Genomic DNA, 22764 nt, shown 5'->3' with positions numbered 1-22764 from the left:
GCAGAAAACTTTGTTTAGATTATTTGCGTGTTCCCATTCTCCCAGGAGTAGCGGGCTTGGCCTAGTGCAGACTATCGCTATATATGCACAAAGAAGGCCCTCCACCCTCGCACCTCCCCACTGCCCATCAGCAAACAAGCAAAAACCAAAAAACAAACAAACAAACAAAACAAGTGGATACACTGCAGGGCAGCACAATAGCTCTATGCGAAGCGGGGCAGTTCCAGAGCCTTCGGTGGATGCGCTTCTGAGAGCGTGCACCAAGCCCATCTCCTGGTGGGGAATCAAATGCTAGATGAGAGCGTAGGCAAGTCCGCTGCAATGTCCGACCCCTCATGGGCACAGAGGCCCTTGTCCCCTCGGGGAGGCCGCTTTTCTCTGTACTGCCCTGGAAGTAAGCAAGCAACCTGAAAACTTTCCTCTGGTGTTTGCCATGAATTCAAGGGAAGCACCTCCAGGCGTTCTAGCAGCCAACCCTCTGCCCAGAAGGCTGATTTGCGGAGAGGAGGGTTGAAAACCGAACCCCAGTTGTGTGTTTCCCTTGAAGCCCTTAGCTGTTCCCGTTTCATACGCGTCCGGGAGGTGGGGATCGCGGGACACTGACCTGGTAGAGTGTGGACAAGAAGCTCTAGCATTCGAGTGCTAACCCTGGGAGGCCATCCTCCAAAGCCGCGTGGGGTAGGGACCCCTCGGTCTTGCCCCTTCCCCCACCACTTTAATCCTTCCTCTAGTCTCAACCTTCTCTAGGAAAACAAGCCCTAAAATACAACTGGAAGGAATTTTGTAAGCTCTGGGGACGGGAGGCAGAGGTCGCCCCCAGCCCTGTAGGCCCGAGGCTAGGAAATGGGGAGCTGGACGCGAGTCATTTAACGTGCTGCGATATAGAGGGCCTCAAATGACACCTTAACTGAAAACTATTGCGCTGAAACCTCCGGATCTCTTGGAAACGTGGGGACCAACGACTTTTTTCAAAACCAAATTTCTTCCGATTTTCTTCAAACAGTGAAACGAGGAAGTATAAAGAACTTGAGTATGAATAAATTTTTAAAAGGAAAGCAGAAGAGCTCTGCACCAGGTTTGTGGGGGCACTTTCACTACCAAGGCGACCCCTTTTCCCCCGTCGGTCACCTAGCCACCCTATCTCGTTGCCACTCAAACAGTCTGGCATTTGGTCCCGGGGGCCCGTTTCACTCCGGTGCACATCGGGGGCTGAGATCTAAATACTCATTTGATATAGTGCAGTAATCCTTTTCTCATATTTGATGGGAATGTTTTCCATATCCCAGTATTTGACAACATCTCCCTATAGGGACAGGTTTGTATTTATGTTGGTAAAATGTCCCCTGCCTCAAAGTCTATTGTAACCCAACACCTGACAACCCCGAGTCCCATTTCTGTTTGCAGAAAGGGTTTATTCAAGCACATAATGGGATCCCAGCAGAAAGCCTTTCAGAACAAGGGGCTGTGGTAAACTTCACCACATGAACTCCGTTTCCAGGGCTATTAAGCTTTTAATTGGAAAATAGCAGAGGAAATTTCAAGGTGACTATAACGTGTTAGCAGTTAGTGCAGAGAAGAAAAGCCGAAGCGGGAATGAATGTAGAAAGCATATGGTCCAAATCACATTTAGGAGGAGCGGCCTGCTTCTACTAAGTCCCAGTAGCTTACACACTTATGGGAAAAATCATCAAAGAAATGGGAAAGGGAAGGGGGAGGATTACAAGTAAATGTAACCTCACTAGACTAGATCCATTGGTGCTCTCCTGTGGATGGTGTGTTCTCAAACCGCAATTAACTGAGTAGAATTCTGGCAGATAATCGTGGAAGAGGAAAAAACAATGTGCGTATGTGGGTCTTTCTCGGCACACACAATCGCTGGGTGTGTGTACATGTAAAAGCTCAGGATGCAGGTGCCCTTGCTGAGAAAGTGAGGACTCCAGATCTGGGAGTCCTGGTATGTGCTCCTCATCCCAACTAATACTCAATCAAAACGGCAGTTTCCGATTGTCCCGGATGTATAACACATCAGCAAATTCTCTGCTGGATTCTCATGGAAGGGGAGGTCAGGGTTCCTATTTCACTGTTTTCATCGCGACCACGATGATGTCAGTGCAGGCAGACGCTGGAAGCCTGAGCGTGAGGAACCCCTGTGAAAACAGAAAAACTTGTCCCCTCTTCCTGTGCGTGAACTACTCAGCTCTCACCTGGTCAGCTTCTCGACCTCGCTCTTCGGCCCGCTTCAAATTGAAAGGAGTTGGGGGAATGTCCAGCCAGGCAGTGGGGCATCCAGCAATCAATTTCTTTAGATGGCAATAATGTCTTGGTTCTCCCTCAGTTGGCTGGGGACAGACTCATGCAAACCCCCCATGAGATCCCCGAAGCCGCCCTCCGGGGCGAGGGGTGGAAAGCAGAGGCCGCTTGGGGTCGGGGAGACGACTGAACCCCGGGGTCACCGGCCCGGGGATACCGCTGAACAGGGGAAGGTCCTGGACCGCTGTTCCCACATAATTTTGGTAGGGGAAGAGACGGGTCGCAGCCTGAGGCCTGCTCCAGATCCCCACGTGCCGAGGCCTTTGGGGACAAACAGGGAGAGCAGAACGGCCTGTGACCTCGCTGGCCCTAAGCCGACCGGGCGGGAGAAGCCAGGTCCTTCATGTTCTCGAACTCTCGAAGCCAGCAGCGGCTCACGCCTAGGAGTTAGCGCTCTCCCGCTTGCGGATTCCTCAGACCCAGCCTGGATACACGACCGCGCCAGCCTTTCGCGGGGTTCAGGTGTAGCTACAGCACGGCTTCATCCGAGGGCCCAGCGCCGCGACCTCAGCCCCGCGCTTTCGAAGGGAACTGGAAAAGCGCTAGCCTGGGGCGCTCCCCGCTGGGCCGCGGTTCCTGGAGGCCCTGGGGGCAGCCGCTCGTCCGACTCCAGCTCCCTGTCGGGAGCGCCCGCGGCGGAGCCGACGCCCAGTAGTAGGAGGGCGTGAGTCCGGCTGGGGACGTCGGCCGCTTCCCCACACCGTCCTGGAAGGGAGCGTCGCAGACCCTGTCCACCTTAAGTGCAAAGGAAAAAAGGCACGTCTCCACCAACGTACAAATGAGCAGCGCTGATGTTAAGTCTTAAGATAACCTTTACCCTGCGACTTTAGAACACAAGGGCTGAAAAAATAATTTTAGGTAATCTGAGCAACATTCAAGGGAGAAGGAAAGTTTCTTCTCCCCAGAGCGTTGGCTCTCAGGGATCTGGGGCACTTCCTCCTCGGGACAAGCCCCTTTTCCAGAAAACCTCACCAGCCTCCCGCCTCCTCCTTTGCTGTCCCTGAACAAAGCCCAGCCGCGGGGAAAGCAAGCGGATTTGCGCGCTTCTGGGAAAGCGTTCGGATTCAGGGGCCCGGGAGTAATGAAGGGAAACGGCCCGCGCGGCCGACACCCCAGGAACAGGGGGCGCGAACTTTGCCTGGAGGCCAGGCCGAGGCGCCCTGCGGAGGCGCGGGAACTGGGAGGAGGGGAGGCTGAGGGGCGCCACACCAGGACGAAAGTAGGCCCGGGCCCTCTCCTCACTTTCCCAGGAGCCTCCTGGGCGGGGCAACTTCCGGAGTGCTCGGGGCCCCGCCCCCCAGACACGCCCCGCTTTCCCCTCCCAGCCCGGCCTCGCGGGCCGCGGCTTTCAACTGTGGAAAAGTTCCGTTTGCTGGTTTTTTGGACCGGGGCCGGGGTGGGGACTGGAGGGGCGCCGAGGGGGAGGAACTTAAACAGGTGGTGGAGTGGAGGCGACCCGCTCCCGAGGGCAGGCGGGTGGGGGAGGGGTAAGGGGGCGACTGTTGAAGGTGAGAATCGCGAGCGGTTGGCAGTGGCCCAGCTTCAAAGGCGCAGGGCCTAGAAAAGGCTGTGGATCTAAGGCCTCGTCCGCGTGTGCGCGGAGGGCGAAGGGAGAGCCAGGGCCCTACGCCAGTTTCCCGGACAAAATTCCAGAGTCAGCGGCGCGCGGGCAGGCTGCCACGACCCTAACCCGCCCGGCGGACGGGGCCCAGCAGGGAAAGCCAATGAATATCCCCTACCCCTCCACAGGCTGCCCGTAGGGTTTCTCTGTAAAGCGCGACGACGCGTTCTCAAAAGCGCCATTAATGCGACTCGATGCAAAGCGTCAAAATGCGGTGCGATACACGTATACGTGGGAAACCGGTTCAGCATTAAAGTTCAAGTGGAGCGGAGGGGGCTGCATATTTTTATTTCTATTTATTTGTTGAGACGGAATCTCATTCTGTCGCCCAGGCTGGAGTGCAGTGGCGCGATCTCGACTCGCTGCTTCCCTCCGCTTCCCGGGTTCAGACGATTCTTGTGCCTCAGCCTCCCGAGTAGCTGGGATTACAGGCATGCACCACTACTCCTGGCTAATTTTTGTATTTTTAGTAGTCGGTCAGGCTGCTCTCGAACTCCTGACCTCAAGTGATCCGCCCGCCTCGGCCTCCCAAGGTGTTGGGATTACAGGCGTGAGCCACCGGCGCCCGGTGGCCGGGAGCTGCATTTTTATGTGTGGGCGGGAGTCTTGTTTCCGCAAGAATCGAGGGAAACGGCAGTGCAGGCCAGGGGGGGTCTGACTCCCACCTCTGTCCCCGATTGGGGTCTCCAAGCGTGGTTAGCGGAGGGAGCCCCGGCTGCGGGTATGACGGTGGTTGTGGCAGCAAGAAGGCGAGTGTCACCAAGGGCGTCCTGGGCCCCAATTCAGTGGCGCAGGGTCTGCAGGACTCGAGGTGAAATTTGAGCCAAGGGCCCCGGGGCGGCGGCGCGAACCCAGCCGCCTGCTTGTCGCGGTGGGTTGTCAGCCCGCGGGTCAAGTCCGCTGGAAGCGGGGAGGGGTCATCAGCGCCCTCAGCCACTGCGGCAGCAAGAGGCGGCCTGGGGAAAAGCGCGTGCCCCCTTTGCTTCTAGCCCCTCGTGGAGTAGCGGCCGCTCACCAAGAGTCCAGGAGAATTAGGCCTGGCGCTCCTGCCTGGGTTTCCCCACACCGTAGCACCCAAACATCTGCAAAAACCTGTCAAGGCTGTCTGGGCGATCCGCACAGTGCGCGGGGCGAGCACACGACGCCTGCCACGCCCACACTTGAACACACGCGTTCTGCGCACTCTTACACTGCACACACCATGGATCCCGCCCGCGGAAGGGGGCAGAGCTTGGGGAAACTGACACCCCCTCGAATGTGTTTATTAAAATACGGTTAAAATCCAGCCGTGAGGATGTACTGTCTGTGCTCTACCTTGTGTTTAGAATTGGACATTCATAACGCAATCCCCCCAGGCCTTGGGCCTGTCTTGCACTCTCCTGGGTCAAGACTAACAACCCGAGGACACCTGAGCGTCACTACGCGTGGGAGGAAGGCTCCAGACCCCTCTCTTCTGGGGCTATTGGACACAGGCCAAAAGCCGGGTCTTCCGGTCAGCTTGAGACCCTGCGTGGCCAGCGCAGGTCCCGGGCCCCGCCCTCCCGCTGGGAGTGGCCCTTCCAGGGGACCGCGTGAGGCCGCTCGGATGCAGCACCAAACGGCGTTAGGCGAGGCCGGTGGGTTTAGAAGGGCCTTTTCAAAAATGAGGATGCTGCCCACTGGACAGGCCTAGTTCCCAGGGTGCAGGCGGCCACGATGCGCATTGCTTGCGCAGCCCAAGCCCGCTCTGCCGAGCCAAACCTGGCTCTCGGGGCTCACCAGAGGCCCGAAAGGTGCTCAGTCAAGGCTGAGAGTGCACTGGCAGCCTACCTGGGCCTTGCCTGACTTTCCAGAAATGCAGGGGGACTGAAGGGGGCAGTGCTGAGAGGGGACACTTTCCCACTGAGGACGCGTGCGGAGCTTCTCCGACCACCCCGCGGGTCACAATTAAGTGTGCGGAGGTTATCTGCGGAATGGCGGGAGCTGCAAGACTCCGGGATCCTCAAAAGCCAGACCTAAAGAAAGAGGGGGGGCAGTGGGCAGGGGCCCGCGAACACGCCGGCAAGGTGGGCGCGGGATCATCTTCCAGGAGGCCACTAGAAACACCTTGGAGGTGACGACTCCGCGGTCCGGCTCCATTCCCCGCGCGGCCGCAGCCTCCGCCGTAGCCGTCACAACAGCTACAGCTACAGCCGCCCGCCGAAGGGCACACGGCTGCAGTAGCAGCAGCCTGACAAGTGTGATAAAATGATCTTCCTTAACTAAACTCGTAAAGCACTGGGCAATAAAACTCAATCTTCTGTAAAATCCAATTAAGTCATTATCTGACTGATTGTATCTTTAATTGAAAACAGAAGTGACAGTAAATTTCTGTGATATATCAGGATCAATCGATACCGCTATACGATTCAGCCCCAAGAAGTGATTTATAATGTCAAACCTATATAGGTAACTCCACATTATTCTCTCTAAAACCACTGGTGGATGAAATTAAGAGTAAGTGCATTTAATAAAAAACAAGATGGTCAGGTTATTGATTACAACAGATGGGGGTGAAATCAAATAGATGTTTTCAAAGCACAGAGCGAAGAAAATACAAGTAATTTCTTTTTTCCTGTTTAATACCGCTCACCAAATATACACACAAGAAAATTCAGTCATCAATAACATTTTTATTTCAGGTACAGCTGCAACTAAGTAGAACAATGAATTTTTTTAGACTAGTTTCATTTCAGGATGGCTTCTGTTATATAACAAAGTACTCCATAGCAATTTTTAACAAAATCATGAACTCAAATCTGTAGCAACTTTTAAAGATGTACTTATTTCCAAATCAGATTACAACCTAAGGTTACAACAGTCCAGACTGCATCCATTTTTTTCCAGTAGTAGAAAGAATGTATGATAAACTCATTCTACAAACACCACTCAGGAACTCTGCATCACTAAGGTCACTTTAAATTGCACTGTTTACAAATTACACCCTTTACCAAAAACGCAGCAATTTTTTTTTACAGGCTTTAATGTTTCTGATTATATTTCAGTTACGTTTTGGATTGGGAGGATGGGGTGGGGCTATTTCCAACAGCAACACACACAATATATCCATTTAGCAGACTTCTAAAAAAATCACTAATTTTGCCTGCTCTTTTCTTCTCACCCGTCAGGTAACTTGGCTAAATTTATATCTTTGCAGGTTTTTAAAAAATACTTAAAAAAAAAAAAAACCCCTAAGGCACCTAAGATTTCATTTTAAAACTAAAAGTAACATCTAATTAGATGACTCATTTAGAGGCACACAAATGGCTTCACTTGAATGAATTCTTTTATTTCTTGAAAACTACATGAAACCAGTGTCATTAAAAAAATGAACACTATTATTTAAACTCCGTGAGTAAAGCACTTAAACCATGCAGATGGTAGTCACGGACCCTAAAGTATTACAAATGTGTTACAGCCTCTGGACTAAACTCTAAGGAATATAAACCAAATACGTTCTCAACAGTTAAGATAGTATGAGTCAATGCAAAATATTAACAAACCCCATGGAAAGTGGAATAAGCCTGTTACTCCAAGTGAACCGCCATCGGCAGCAGGCACTGCTCACTCGTCCTCCTCGATGACGGGAGTGACTGTGAAGCTGCTGGGCTCCGACGCAGGCTCACATTCAAGCACTGCCTTTGTGCTCTTGTTACTAATAGGAGAGCTGCTCGAGAGGGAAACCAAGCCAGAATCTTGACTGCTGGGCGGCGAGAATACTGCGAAGTGAGGTGAGAGAGAAAGAGAGAAAGGGAGAAAGGGAGTAATGTTAAAAGTGGCTGGTCTTTATACATTCATTATTCAATTAGGTTACAACAAAGAAAGTGACGCTCTCCATTTCTATTCTGAGTTGAAAGTGTTTTTATAGACACTCATTAAAACTCCTAGCATTTCTTTAGAATAAAAAAATAGTATTCTACACAGTATACCTATTTAACGAAAGGAGTAAGCTAGATAGCAGAGTTCCAGTTTAACGTTCATTAAAAAACAAAACAAGTCGGCTGCATCCTCTTTGGGAAACTATTTCCACCCTTCACCGGACTCCTCCCCTTTATGCAAAGTATGCTGATGAAACTTGTCAAGTGATCCATCTGACACATTACCTCAAGCAAGACTCCACCCATGCATTTCCACCACGACAGGTAACCCACCCTACTTTTTCAAGATACAGCAGGTGAAGTGGATAGCATATTAACTTTACTATTATTTCTCTTGGCATAACAGGACAAAGACGGGGGAAAGGGATGTCAGCATACATAACTTTTAAAAAGTAAAAGACAGTAAATGGGAGAGAAAAATTGTAAAAACAGAAAAGTAAATAAATTACATCACACTAAAATAGAAGTCAGATAAATTGTGAAAGCAAACCTAGGAACATAAAACTCCACTGGAAAACCCACATTAAATATGAAGGATGCAAAAGTAATAATGTGTTAAGCAACTTTTGCAACCTTAGCAGCCACAGTAGATAAAAAACTTAAGCAAAAGGGTCTCTGACCTTCTTAACCTTAGCTGAGTTTAGATCCACCCCCAGAACTCCCTTCCTGCCTAGTGTGAATGTAATTAAGGGGAAGCTGCAGTGGTAATTTCTCTCCTCATTAACTTCCTGATTGGTTTCAGCCTCAGGATTCTGCCGGGCAGTAGTTTGTCACCAATTCCAAATGGCCAATCGTTAATACTAATGTTTGTGTAACTAACTGCCAGCATCTGCCACGGCTTCTTGTACAACAATAATGGTGAAAGGGTACATTAGTGCTCCTGTGTTAATTCAGCTTGTGTTCATCAATAGGGAAATCTATGATGTAATTAGCAAAATGCATTGGGAGCTGAGTGCTGAAGTCATTTGTAGAGAACTAAATCATAGTAGAAGCTGCACTGGGTCCTGATGTGTTTGCCATCAATACTTATTATGTTTGGAATTTAATAAGGTATATTACCATGCTGAAAAGAGACCTTTTTACAACTGAACACTATTTACACTCGTTACGGGTTTGGAAAAGGTTTGCTGCAGCTAGTGGAACCACACAGAAATAAAAGAACAGAGCTAGGATTTAAGAAGCAGGCCCTTAACCACTCCACTGGACCACATTCTTTCAGAAGGCCCCCTTCTTCCAGTGTGACATATGGGTAGACAGATAGACAAATGGATAGTTTTGTACAGCTACCTCAATATCCAAGAAGGAAAGAGATGATCTGAAAATTCAGTAAGTGAATAAATTTGAAAAACAATTTAGGCAATTTCCTGACAAGTGGTTACTTTTTATATTGATAGATTTGTTTAGTCTTTAATAAGGTAAATAAAAAGCAAAGGATAAGTTTGTAAGCTTTAAAATATAGGAAAATATTTTTTTTTAATTTAAAGGGAGTCATTAAGTAGTATTTCATAACAAAAAAGCACGCATATGCATATATAAATATAGCAACCAAAACTAGGAATCTAGGAAATATGAAGCCTTCATCTTATTACAGTTCATAAAAGTATCTTACTAAATTTGTATTGTTATATGCATTTAAATTCCATGCAAATCCAAGGTGATTTATTAATTGTATACATGCACCTGGTTGTCATATATATGTACAGAGAAATGTTTTCCAAAGGCAGCAGACTGCTTTGAGATCTTGTTACTATACAGATCTGGAGAGCCGACTAAGAGCTTCCTGGAGTCCGTGCGTTAATGTCCCCACCCCCAACCAGTGACAGAAGTTTCTCTGTATAGAAGCTATGGAGAAGAACAGTAAACATTACTGACTACTACCTGTATGCCACACACATACTTTAGTGAGGTATTTCACCCTCAAACCATTCACTGAGAGAATTACTCTCCCCGTTTAACACAGGGATCCTGTGCAAGCTGTCAAGGGCAGCACTGTACTGATTAGGCTGACTCTGGCGTGCTCTGGCCCCTGCACCAACCTTCTCCTGGGCCCCACATTTCAGAACTGGCAGCTGAACCTTCCCAATCCCTGTGTGAGTTTAAGGAGGCAAAGCAACGGACCTTTGCCAAGCTGATGCAGAGGCTTGTAAAGGAATAGGTATGTGTTCTCCCAACATGTTCAGAGCCCTGGGCCTGTTTCCAGTTAGCAGCTGACTGGGAGATGCCCCGGGAGATGCCCTCTCCTCATTTAGCCAACTTGGGACTGAAAAGGGGAGGAGTGGGAATTTTGCAAAAGAAAGGAATTTGACAATATCCCCCTTTTGCTCTAACTTGCCTTATGAATATTTTCTTGGAAAGTGCTCTTGCGACGTGGGGCCACAAAGCATGCAGAATATTACCTGCATGGACTAGCGGGGCTCCAAGCATACTTTTAATGCATGACTGCACTCTAGAGAAAATGTAAAACTCACCCTGTTTTGAAAAACAGCCGTATTGTTTATAGTGTTTCTCCACTCAAAATTTAAACCCATGCTATTTTTACATTTGTTCAAGGCTTAGCATTGTTTTTAAATAATAGGCTGTTGAAGTTAGGGATAGTATCTGTTTAAGTATAGCCCCTCATAGAGTTCTAGGTACGTGAAAAGATTTAGTGTGTTTTTCCTTAGTGACTAATGTCCAAAATCACTTTTACTACCATCCTTAAAGATCGTCCCTCAGAGGTACCTTTTCCATTTTAATGCAGCTTCCTTAAACTTTTGGAAGGAGAAGGCTAATAGTTGACCGTTGTAAATTATTTCATACCAATTAAAAATTCAAAAATCTAAATGATGCTTTTCGCTCTTTGATTCTAAGGGGCCCTACACCAGGCTAATTTCAACTCAAAAGTCTTGTCTTAGGTCATTTTGTAAAAATGCTAACTCCTAGCGTCAGTGGCACTGTGGGGGAACAGATAGTATTGGTAGCACTAGAAATTGGTTCAATCTCTCTGGACAGCAATCTAGTGACATGTAATAAGAACCATAAAGCTGTTCAGCCCCTCTGACCTGGTAATTCCACTCTGGGGAATAACCCCGAAGAAAGGAAGAATAATTGAGCCTGAGATGCTCAACACACCGTCAGTGAAGATGTTAGTGTACTGCTCTTGTGCTTGGGGAAGGGAGTTGGGGCCAGCTGCACTGGGGTTGGGGGCAGGAAGCATTCACAGGCAATAAACAATTAAGGATTATACTACCCTATAATCATTGATAGCCTCCCAGCATTTACAGAAATAGAAGAAATTATTTCTGCACACCACAGCAGAGACTGAAAAGTAAGGAAAAGAAAAAAGGAAAACTTGCCCATCTGATATTTTTTTGTGTTACAATGAAAGGTGGGTAAACCTCCGAGGCTGACCCTTGTTTGAACCAGCAAATCTAGTATCTGTTTTCTCTCAAGAAGCCTATTTGTCTACCGAAGCTACTGGGATGTTATTTTATTATGATTTAAAAATAAACAGAAAACCTTACACAGGATCATTCTTACCAATGAGGGGAAAAAACACTTCAAGATGATTTTGATGCCATCTAACCATGAGTATTATTTTTGAAAAATATTTATACTGTCAAAAAAGAAAACCTTCTTAAAAAAAAAACCACAAAACTCTAAGTGCTAAATCTTTTGACATTGCAAAGACCCCTGACTTTTAACTTGAATGATCTGTTGGAAGTCAATGGACTGGAACGAATAATTCTCTTCCAGTGATGTGAGAAAACAGGATATTCATGCTTTAAAAACATTTTTCCTTCCTCTATATGTTAAACACTATTAAACTCCTAAGAAACCATTTTAAAATAAAATACAAGTGGCATTTTTCAGTTGTTACCAACTCTTCATCTAGATGCTGACTGCCAAGGCAGACAAACAAAATTGCTGGCCTCTTCAGTTTCCTAGACTTTGTAGGCATAAGAAAGAATCTGATGAAAAGCTGATGAAAATTTCTTAAACAACAAATTCTTCCACTTCATGATAACCATAGTGTTTGGAAATAAAATCATGTGCAATCAATACCACTTAGCATATATTTAATGTTTCACAATAGAACTCTTTTCCAGAGTGGAACTGCTGCCCTTCTCACTAACATTTAAAATAATTAGGATTATCTTAGCTGTCCGAAGCTTGGCAGGTTCAGTTTGTACTTTCAAATAGCATTAATTCTTGGCACTCAGAACAAGGGATAAAAGGTAAAGATATGAATGGAGATCTTTATTCCACCTGATCTATCATGGATTAGCTCATTCTTTTCCAGTTCATGCCTGCACTCTAGTTAAGAAGAAGGCTGAGCTGTAACTGATGTAATTAGAAACCACAAGCTGAGAAAAAAATAGCCCTTTGGTAATCTCCTCCATTTACTATAAATTTACTAAAAAAAAAGTAATGATCGTTGAAACAATTAAATGTGTTTTTCCCCCGAGTGCAATTAAAGAGTAGTGATGAGAGAGTGGAGCATAGGATTGTGTTTTCCGTAACACCATATCTTAGTTATCAGCTTTAAAATCGAGTATCGGTTTTGAAGGGGGCTAGCTCTGCACTTTGCGTATTGTAGAGAGAACTGGCCAATCACTGTAAATGAAAGAACCTATAGATGGCATCAGGTAAATTAAATGAAAGATCCTATAGATGGAATCAGGTAAATTATCAGTGCTTCCTCGTTGATACAACTATCACAACCTTTGCAAGCACTGGCAAATAGCATACTTTAAAAACTAGGTGAACTTAACAGAAAGTACATATTTATGCAACATTACCTCTTTCCCTCTAAATTTTATGTAAAACATAATGTACACACAATTCACAAAATAATAGTAGGCCAATTTTTTAACTCTCAAAAGGAACAGAGCCAAGCAAGCATCCTTCTACAGCATGTCAGAGGTTGGGGGAGCACTGGCCCGGGAGTCTGAGAATCTGGGCTCACAGTCTGGTCCTACTGTAGCTGCAGATTAGTTTCCCTGCTGCTTGTGAAACTAAGTGATAATGCACCCATCAAACTTACTCCCCCACTTACAGAGTTCAACCGAGAAGCAAAGGGAAGAAGCCTTTTTTGTTTATATTAACATGGTATGCAAAAAGGGAAGAGAAAGAAGGGGCGCATTCAGCCTTATACCCCAACCAGGGACTCAAGCAAAATTAGCTCACGGCCAGGCGTTCCTTCTCCAATGCCACCTCCACCCCACCCAGGCCCTCCTGGACCACAGCATGGCAGCTGGTGGGTCCCCAGTGCCACCTCCACCCCACCCCACCCCACCCAAGCCCTCCTGGACCACAGCATAGAAAGCTGGTGGGTCCCCAAATTCCCTGCTTGTTTCATGGAGGAGGTCACCACAAGCAACTTGTGTCTCAAAGCCATGAATAATCAACATGTCCATGGCAGCAGCCCTACCCTGATAGGGGCTCAGCACCCTTTGAAGTACCTCCTCTCCCCTCACTCCTCACCTTCCAAAAAACCCTTCTTGCCTGTCAGCAATGGTGATGCTCCAGACTGCTCCCTTGCCCCCAAACTCAGTCAGTTGTGGGAACTTTCCTCCCACTGACATCTCTTCCTAAACCCTCTCAGAGGTGAGCAAGCGTGCACACGAGGGGCTGACTCACTTTTACTGACTCAGTTGACTAGTCCCGTCCAGGGGTGTCGCATTTGGTGATACACGCAATCCAAACAGTCAAAGTCACTCTAAAACTATGTTTTAACCAAAATATATTAAGTCTTAACACCTAATCATCGTGGGGCTTTTAATTCCCTTTAGTAACAACATCCTGCAGTAAAACCACAGACTGGCTAACTCTTTGCTCTCCTCTGCTCTCCAGTAAAATAAACACGACCTAGACTTTTAAGAAAACTCCTCTGGTACCTGGGACATTGTTTAAGCATCCTGCGCCCTAGTTTCTCCATCTGTGAAAAGGGGGTAATAACAGATAGTAGTGAAGATGACTGGAGTAATGTTTACTCAACAAATATTAGTTTCCTTAATTCCTCTGTCAGCTGTCTAAATCTCCATGTCTTAATGTGAGAAGATTCTTGCTTTTGAACGCATCAGAATCATATCAGGATTTAGTACAAGGTCTGTTTATTCCAGGCCACACATACATGTTGCCTTTTTCAGAGAACCAGGAATACATGTTTACTATGTAATAGCCTGAAGGTCACATCCAAGAGGCAAAACAACCTATTCCTCACTTGAACGGCCTTTGTTAACATCAGTTCTGCCTTTTTCAATCTTTTTGAGGAGGGAGGTGAGAAGATGGCTGGCATCAAATCAAACACCAGAATGTCTGTGAACATACTTTATAAACCAAACAGAAAATAGCATTATTATCCCACGATCAAGCAAACCATCCCTTCAGACTAGCATTTGGAGGAAGGAAGAATCTGTGGTTTTTGAGCCTAAGTTTGTCCTAAAAGTTGGGAACTCTGGGAAGTACATGGCACAGGTGTCAATGTCTCCAAATAAGTACGGGTCTCATCTGTTCCTAATCTACAATTACTGGGTTCCTGGAGCCCTGTCACAACGAGGCTTGCGTTCTGAGGAGAGAAGAGCAAAGAGTTACCCAGTGTGTGGGTTTGCTGCAGGATGTTGTTACTAAAGGGAATTAAAACGAGGCATTCCAGAAACTGTCCCTGGGTCAGAATGCAACAGAGTAGAGGGGTCAGGTGTGGGCTCCGGAGGTGGGCTGTCTTACTACCTGAAGACCTTGGACAGGTCCCTTAACCTCTCCATGTCTCTGCTTCCTCATGTGTAAAATTGGGGATACAGTAGAGCACTTAGGAGGATTCTACACAAGGCGTGGGGCCCCATTAAGTGCTACGTTCCCTCCTGTGGTCACCCACACGTGTGGCCCGGTGACAACCACATCTCAGCACCTGATGCTGTCTGAACTGAGCCCTGTTCCTAGCGTCACTTCTCAGCACTGCTCCCCCACTCCACTTCCCTTGTCTACACCTGCCCCACCCCACCCTACTTCATCTTTCTTGAGCTCGAAGAGGCAGCAGAAACACAGCCTCCTTTCTGGGAGACTGTTTTCCCACCACACTGCACGCTAGGCAGGAGGGCTGAGGGAGGCCTGCTTCTGGCTGGCTCCTCTCACTTAGGAGTACCTGTCAGGCTGGGCCAAGCCCAGCTCGTACCCCTCAGCCAGGAGCAGCCACCGTCTGAGAATTGTCCAGAAAGACCAGGAGCTCTGCCATCCACACTGGCACCTCAATAAACACCCTGTGCCTCAGTTTCCTCAATTGTAAAGGAAGGTAATAAATATCTCACAAAGTTGCATTGAGGATCAAGGAGACAAAATAGTTTGTAAACCCTAAAGGTCTATACACTTGTTACTCATTATTTTCTGTCCCCTCTCCTCTGGCAGAAGCCTATACTCTTCTCCAGGAAAGAATTGTGAGTGTCTGTACTCCATTGGAAATTAATAGGATTTTTATTAAACATTGGTTGAGAAAGGAAAAAAAGTGACAACACACCCAACACCTCTGAATGTTCTTGGACAAGTTTCAATTCTGATGTGAAGGAAAGTCAACAATTGCTTTCTTCATCCCTCTTTACACACCAAAAGACTGAAAGTTAAAATGAATTCCAAGCTAAAACCTGAGCCTATTGTTTGTGCTTTTCACGGCATCATGTATAGGCCTTCAGTGACACTTAACCATTCCTGAGGCTGGGCCAACAGGCAAGCCGACTCCACTGAATCAGGCTAGGGCAAAGAGCCAGGAGAACCACCTGGAGGCAAAGACACAAAGTCCACAAGGTAAAAGACAAACCTCGGGTAAATGGAAATTGAGCTGCGAATGTCTACCATCCATTGTCCATGTCCAGCACAGTGCAGAGCACATAGTGGGTGTTTAATAATGGATGCATGAGTGAGAAAAACAATGGAATGTAGCCTTCACAAGACACACTGCAACCATAAAACAGGACTAACCCATGCATGCACTGGCAGACAGTCTCAAGTCTAAAACCAGTTTAAGGTGGCTGGATGCGGTGGGTCACGCCTGTAATCCTAGCACTTTGGGAGGCTGAGGTAGGTGGATCACCAGAGGTCAGGAGCTCAAGACGAGCCTGGCCAACATGGCAAAACCCCATCTCTACTGGAAATACAAAAATTAGCCGGGCATAGTAGCACATGCCTGTAATCCCAGCTACTCGGGAGGCTGAGGCAGGAGAATCGCTTCAACCCAGGAGGCAGAGTGGCAGTGAGCCAAGATAGTGCCACTGCACTCCAGCCTGGGCAACAGAGCAAGACTCCATCTCAAAAAACAAAAAACAAAACAAAACAACAACAACAACAATAAAACCAGTTTAAGGAGTTTAGAGTACAAGTGTTTGAATCAATTCTGCCTGTAGTGACTACATAGTGACTCTATGCAAAGCCTGGACACAGAGGCAAAGGGAAAAGCAGCATCAAACACACCCTCTGACAAGTGGTGGCACCAGGACCCTGTCAGCCCAGGCCAAAGGCCCCCAGCTTTTAATGAGTTCCTCAGGGACTCTGTGCAATGCAAATGAGTGCTCAGATCCACATATAGGTGCCATGACTGGGTTGGCCACACACACCACAAGTGCATTTGAAAACAGACTTAAATATATACGTGATCATCTCAGTAACGAAGGCAGGCTGGGCAAAGAAGATGCTCTACGAGTCGTCTCTGAAATAGACTTATCATTTGATTCTGGGAAAGCTGTTTTCTCAGATACAAAAGTAATCAAACCCATAAAGTAGGCTGTGACATTTGCCACTCTACAAACTAGGTTGGCTGTCCAGATATTTTGCAGTATGAGAAAATTTTAAAGCAGCCTTGCAGAAGAATCACAGATGCTCCAGTCTGAAAGGGTAAGGTGTGATGGAAATCCCAACCTTGATGGGCATCTCGTTAAGGCTAAGAAAAAGGATTACAGTTTTGGAGTCAACACCACTGCCAGAGGAGCTGGTCACAATAATGTCAACACTGCCTTCTCATCCAGAGCGCCAATGAGCTTGGTTTCCTATCTAATCCACAAACTGCAGTTAGCCTTTCACTTTAGATTTATATAATCTCTAATAAAACACAATGTTTAACAAAATATTTACACTTAGGATGTGCATCTTTAGCTATATGGTTTTTAGAAAGTTTTTCATTTAAAAATATTCTGGACCAGGCGTGGTGGCTCACGCCTGTAACCCCCGGAGAGTTAGGAGGTCCAGGCGGGTGGATCACCTGAGGTCAGGAGTTTGAGACCAGCCTGTCCAACATGGTGAAACCCTGTCTCTACTAAAAATACAAAAATCAGCTGGGTGTGGTGGTGTGCGCCTGTAATCCCAGCTACTTGGGAGGCTGAGGCAGGAGAATCACTTGAAGCCAGGAGGTGGAGGTTGCAGTAAGCTGAGATCACGCCATTGCACTCCAGCCTCAGTGACAGAGCAAGACTCCATCTCCAAAAATAAAAATATTCTGACACTTTGCAATTAAGTGGATATGAGAGAAAGTTCCCAAGCCATTTCTCAAGTAGAATTTTATAGAATTTGCAGCTTATAATTTGAAAATAAATATTGTGGCACAAATGATATGCTAGTAGCACGGTAGAGGATTGCATACAGCAAATTATTTTCTCTTTACTACTGGGAGACTCATATTCTTCAAAAAGCAACTATTAATACTATTTAGGGTGAACATTACATGTAACACACAAAACTTCAATGTTGGCTTATCATACTATGCCAACTATTTCCTTCTGTTTCTTTATAACCAGCATTAATGAAAATTTAAGATTCATAAATTATTAGTATTTTTCATCTTTTTCTTCTTTTTTTAAAAACAGAGTCTCGCTCTATCCCCCAAGCTGGAATGCAGTGGCACAATCTCCAATCGGGGCAACCTCCGCCTGCGGGTTCAGGTGATTCTCATGCCTCAGCCTCCCAAGTAGCTAGGATTACAGGCGCCCGCCACCACATCTGGCTAATTTTTGTATTTTTAGTAGAGCCAGTGTTTCGCCATGTTGGTCAGGCTGGTCTCGAACTCCTGACCTCAGGTGATCCACCTGCCTCAGCCTCCCAAAGTGCTGGGATTACAGGCGCGAGCCACTGCCCTCAGCTCAATATTTTCTTCTAAAATAGAAGGAGGAAGCAAATACCAGGACACATCTAAATAGAACATCTACGGATCGAAAAACAATCAAGATTGAACATTTTAGGCATTTCCAGACAGGAGAATACATGCCTACTCAAAGTTGCACATGTTATTTTACCACCTAAATATAACACGGCCATCATGGATGATAAGGTAAGTTCAGATTACAGAACCAAGTGCACACTGTTTAGGAATGGTTCACATTAGGGCTGAAGAGAAATAAGAAAATAACAGCACAGACTGTGTAGGCTTTTCTGAAATAATATTTCTATACATTGCATAAGACTCCAATTGCTAAAATTCTTTAATACATGTATTTCTTAAAACATTTTTGTGGTATCTTCTGTCCAATTAGCCCCAAGAAAGGACTTTAACCCTAAAGAGGTTTAGTCTGTAGGCAATATAAGGCATTCATGGAATGTTATTGTTACTGTGCCTTCTTCTCTCCAGGTGTTTATGATATTTTTAATTGTTTCAGGACAGGTGAGCTCATGCTCATGTTTCAACAGGTATTTTAGTCTGCCTTCAAGAAAAGATGTTCCATTGGGTATGGACATAAAGATGGCAGCGATCAACACTGGGGACTACTGGCGGGGAGGCAAGGGTTGAAAAATTAACTGTTGGGTACTATGCTCAGTACCTGGGTGACAGGATCATTCATACCCCAAGCCTCAGCTTCATGCAATATGCTGACGTAACAAACCTGCACATGAACCCGCTGAATCTAAAATAAAAATTAAAGGGAAAACAAAAAAGGGTTTCCTTTTTCTCCCTAGCTGCAGCCCACCTGAAGCCAAACTTAATTGTAGACTTTCTTAAGGGGCTTCTCAGAACAACCACCTATGATCTCTGGGTGAGATGATCCCAGAAAGGGCCTGTTGGTACTGGGTCAAGAGAGCGAGGCTCTGAACTTAAGGAAAGAAAGGCTGGCAGTTATTTACCAAAGCATGAGATAAATTTTTATTTAATTATTTCTTCCCCTGGTCAACAAATTGGCTTCTTCCAGCATTTGCTTAATTTTTTATTGTAGTAAAATACACATAGCAGAACATTTATCATTTCATCATTTAAAAATTGTCTGTATGGCCTTTTAAATTTTGGGTTTTTTGTTTTTTGTTTTTTTTTTTTTTGAGACAGGGTCTTGCTCTGTCTCCCAGGCTGGAGTGCAATGGCTCAATCATAACTCACTGCAGCCTCAAACTTCTGGGCTCAGGTGATCCTCTTGCCTCAGCTTCCCAAAGTGCTGGGATTACCGGCATGAGCCACCACACCTGGCCCTTAACCATTTTCAAGTGTAGCGTTCAGTGAAATACATGCATTTGAAGTACATTCACAACCACTGCCACCATCCATCTCCAAAACTTCTTCATCTTCCCAAACTGAAATTCTGTACCCATTAAACAACAACTGTCCATCCTCTTCTCCCCTCAACTCCTGGCAACCACCATTCTACTTTCTGGCTCTATGATTTTGACTACTGTAGGTACCTCATATAAATGGACTCATACAGTATTTGTCCGTTTGTGTCTGGCTTATTTTACTTAGCATAACGTTCTCAAGTTTCATCCATGTTGTAGAATACATCAGAATTTCCTTCCTTTTAAAGACGAAATAACATTCCATTGTATACGTATACACCTTTTGTTTATCCATCCATGCACTAATGGTCATTTGCGTTGCATCCACCTTTGAATAACGCTGATATGAACATGGGTATACAAATATCTCTTTGACACCCTGCTTTCAATTCTTTGGGGTATTTACCCAGAGCAGAACTGCTGGACCGTATGGTAATTCCATCTTTAATTTTTTGAGAACTGCCATATGGGTTTCCACAACATCATTTCACATCCCCACTGGTAATGCACAAGAGTTCCAACTTACCCACATCTCAGCAACGCTTATTTTCCGTTCACTGATTATTTTTTAAATGACAGCCATCATAATGGGTGTGAAACGCAGGATTTAGTTTTTTGCTGCTGCTTTTTTTTGAAACAGGGTTTCATACCCACAGCCCGACAGTGCAGTGGCACTATCACGGCTTACTGCAGCCTCAATTTCATGGGCTCAGGTGATCCTCCCACCTCAGCCTCCCCAGTAGCTGAGACTACAGGCATGCACTATCATGCCTAGCTAATTTCTTGCATTTTTAGTAGAGGCAGGGTTTCGCCATGTTGCTCAGGCTGGTCTTGAACTCCTGGGCTCAAGCCATCCACCTGCTTCAGCCTCCCAAAGTGCTGGGATTACAGGCGTGAGCCACCACACCAGCCAAGTTTTTTGCCTCTTTTATACTAATCTTTTCCTTCTTTCCCTTCTTCCTGCTCTCCCTTAGTCATGACCTACTGTCCTGTCTCTATTTTATTACACAGTAATGCTGGCAAACTGGCTACTGTCGAACTCCCAGAAAACTTTCCTCATGCTCACATGTAACCTGCTGGTCACCAATGCCAGTGGCCTGCCCTGCTCTTTCCTGCCCTCTCTCAGGAGCACTGGACAAGTGCCCATGCCCTACCCTCTCCCTCCTCCCCAGTCCTCAGGCCACAGTACTCTCCTTTCTCCAGGCCCTCCCCACTCCACTGACCACCTCTTCTCTAATCCAACCCTGAGCACGGACATTCTCCAACTGCTGAACTGGGTTCTCTTTTGTCACACAAGGCTTTAAATATCACCTCATTGCAAATGACTTCACAATGTATATCTCTTTCCCTGACTTCTTACTGAGCACTATGTCTGTATTTTAAATAGCTAACGAACGGCCAGGCGGAGTGGCTCATGCCTGTAATCCCAGCACTTTGGGAGGCCGAGGCAGGCAGATCACGAGGTCAGGAGTCCGAGACCAGCCTGGCCAACATGGTGAAACCCTGTCTCTACTAAAAATACAAAAATTATCTGGGCGTGGTGGCACGCACCTGTAATCCCAGCTACTAGGGAGGCTGAGGCAGGAGAATTGCTTGAACCTGGGAGGCACAGGTTACAGTGAGCCGGGATCGTACTACTGCACTCCAGCTTGGCGACAGAGCAAGACTCTAAAAAATAATAATAATAATAAAATAAAGCCCAAACAACAACAACAAAAAAACAAACAAAAAAAACTGAACCTACCAACTTCTCCTCCTCCAATAACAAACCTGACCCTCCCTCATCTCTTGGATCTTGGGCTCACACCCTCTTCTCTAGCCAGCTCAGACTCGAAGCTTAAGACTACTCCACCTCCCTCCCACATCTAAGCAGCTGCTGCATCCTGCTCTCTTGAACTCTGCCACATCCCTCCTTACACATATCCTTCCTTTCCAATGACCCTATCCTACCACAGCCTCATCTAAATTCCAGCCCTCATCCCCTCGCGCCTTCTCTGCTAGCATCTGGTGCCCTATCCGGTCCCTTCTCTCTCTGCTTCACTTTACCCTGGTGGCTGTTACGCTTCCAAAAGCACGTCTCTGACATCTTTCCTAAATAAACACCTTTGGTGGTTTCTGCAAAGGTCCAAGCTCCCTAGCCTGGCATTTCAAGAGCAATCTGATTGCCCACTTCTCCCCGTGCTTATTATGCCACGTCCTAGCCTCTCTCCTGCTCCAGATGCCTGCACAGACCTCTAAGGTCCCCTGCCTTTGATGCTGAGTTCATGCCAGTCCCACAGACTTTCCCCAATCTCCACAGCTTAACACTCAACTCAAATGCCAACCTCCTCTAATCCCCCTTCTCTAATGCCCACAGTACTCCACCTTCCTTGTGCCACTATCACTTTCACTCTCATTATGGATCTAATGACTCCCCTACAGACCAGAGGAGGGACCATGTTATGGTTCTATCTTTAAAGCCCTTTGGTGGCCACTAGTTAAAAGACTTACATGTGGCCAGCACTCAACAAATAGTAGTTGATGAATAAATGAAAGATCACTGTCATGAGACAAAGCCAGCCAATCTGTTTCCTAGACCAATCGTGATCAGCACACTAGGTAAGTATGCATGGAAAGAATGGTGGAGAGGCAGCTCTGGCAAGAGAGAAGAGATGATTGCTGGCCCCACGTCAAGGAAGGGGCGAGGAAAACTAAGAAGCAGCTTAAGCAGCAGTGGAGAGGGAGTACAACAACAGAGGTGGCAACGAATCCAAAACCTCAAGAATGGGTCAGCTTCCTGCAGGCGAGAGAGAAGAATCCACTTGATAAACTTTCCTGTCATCAAAGGTCGGGGGGGCAGAGGCCTTTGACAACTGCAAGAGAAGATTTTCGTCATTTAGAAAATAAATGCATGTATGTGAAACAGATCATTTCTCAATGATGGCGAGTTAATGAGGCAGCTCGAATCTACCCTTAAACTCTGTCCTTGGATGGGTATAACTAAACTCCAGACACTAACAGAAATATCAGAATGACTAAAGCTAGAAGACCAAAAAGATACACAGACTTTTTTTTTTCTCCATAATAAAGGAGGCTTATTAAAGCTACTACCTTAGAAAAATAGATAAGGGGTGGCCGTCAGATACGTTTTAGATAGATCACTTTCATTATTAATTGACTGAAAATGTAAACAAGATAAGTAAGCTTGACTCCACGTATATAAAATTCTGCATCCAACAATGAACAAATCCGCATTCTTCACAGGGACACACAAAGCATGTATGCAAAATAACCATGTAGCAGTCCACAAAGAAAGTCTCTACACATTTCAAAGATGTGTATCTTTCAAAACCTTTGAAGTCTTAAAGATTTAAGTCTATAGGCTATGAGAATATCTCCTAAGGAAAAAAACCCTTTCGGCTTTAAAAAATGATCAACAAAAAAAGAATATAAATTTCACTGACTCTG

At 46.1% G+C, this 22764-nt stretch overlaps 1 protein-coding gene across 6 annotated transcripts in view, besides 3 other annotated features; it reads right to left on the bottom strand.

Moving 5' to 3' along the window:
- Nucleotides 365-2218: an enhancer, noted in NCBI's record as "VISTA enhancer hs112". NCBI's record gives its function as "enhancer in: forebrain[7/7]" and the evidence as "EXISTENCE:transgenic organism evidence [ECO:0001131][PMID:17130149]".
- Nucleotides 4332-4892: an enhancer, noted in NCBI's record as "H3K27ac-H3K4me1 hESC enhancer chr9:970761-971321 (GRCh37/hg19 assembly coordinates)". NCBI's record gives its function as "activates a minimal SCP1, AML or CMV promoter by ChIP-STARR-seq in naive H9 embryonic stem cells {active_cell/tissue: H9 hESC(naive)}" and the evidence as "EXISTENCE:reporter gene assay evidence [ECO:0000049][PMID:30033119]".
- Nucleotides 6017-6579: an enhancer, noted in NCBI's record as "H3K27ac-H3K4me1 hESC enhancer chr9:969074-969636 (GRCh37/hg19 assembly coordinates)". NCBI's record gives its function as "activates a minimal SCP1, AML or CMV promoter by ChIP-STARR-seq in naive H9 embryonic stem cells {active_cell/tissue: H9 hESC(naive)}" and the evidence as "EXISTENCE:reporter gene assay evidence [ECO:0000049][PMID:30033119]".
- Nucleotides 6563-22764, bottom strand: part of DMRT1 (doublesex and mab-3 related transcription factor 1) — a 127394-nt gene continuing 111192 nt past the window's right edge. For all 6 annotated transcript variants that reach the window (XM_006716732.2, NM_021951.3, XM_011517770.2 and 3 more), the window contains exon 5: nucleotides 6563-7668. In XM_006716732.2, coding sequence (XP_006716795.1) covers nucleotides 7514-7668 — 155 coding nt within the window. In that variant the 3' untranslated portion in view covers nucleotides 6563-7513. The remainder of the gene's footprint in view (nucleotides 7669-22764) is intronic.

This window comes from Homo sapiens, chromosome 9 (assembly GCF_000001405.40).
Source record: "Homo sapiens chromosome 9, GRCh38.p14 Primary Assembly".
NCBI classification, from domain to species: Eukaryota; Metazoa; Chordata; class Mammalia; order Primates; family Hominidae; genus Homo; species Homo sapiens.
This window is presented reverse-complemented; position numbering and strand designations above follow the sequence as displayed.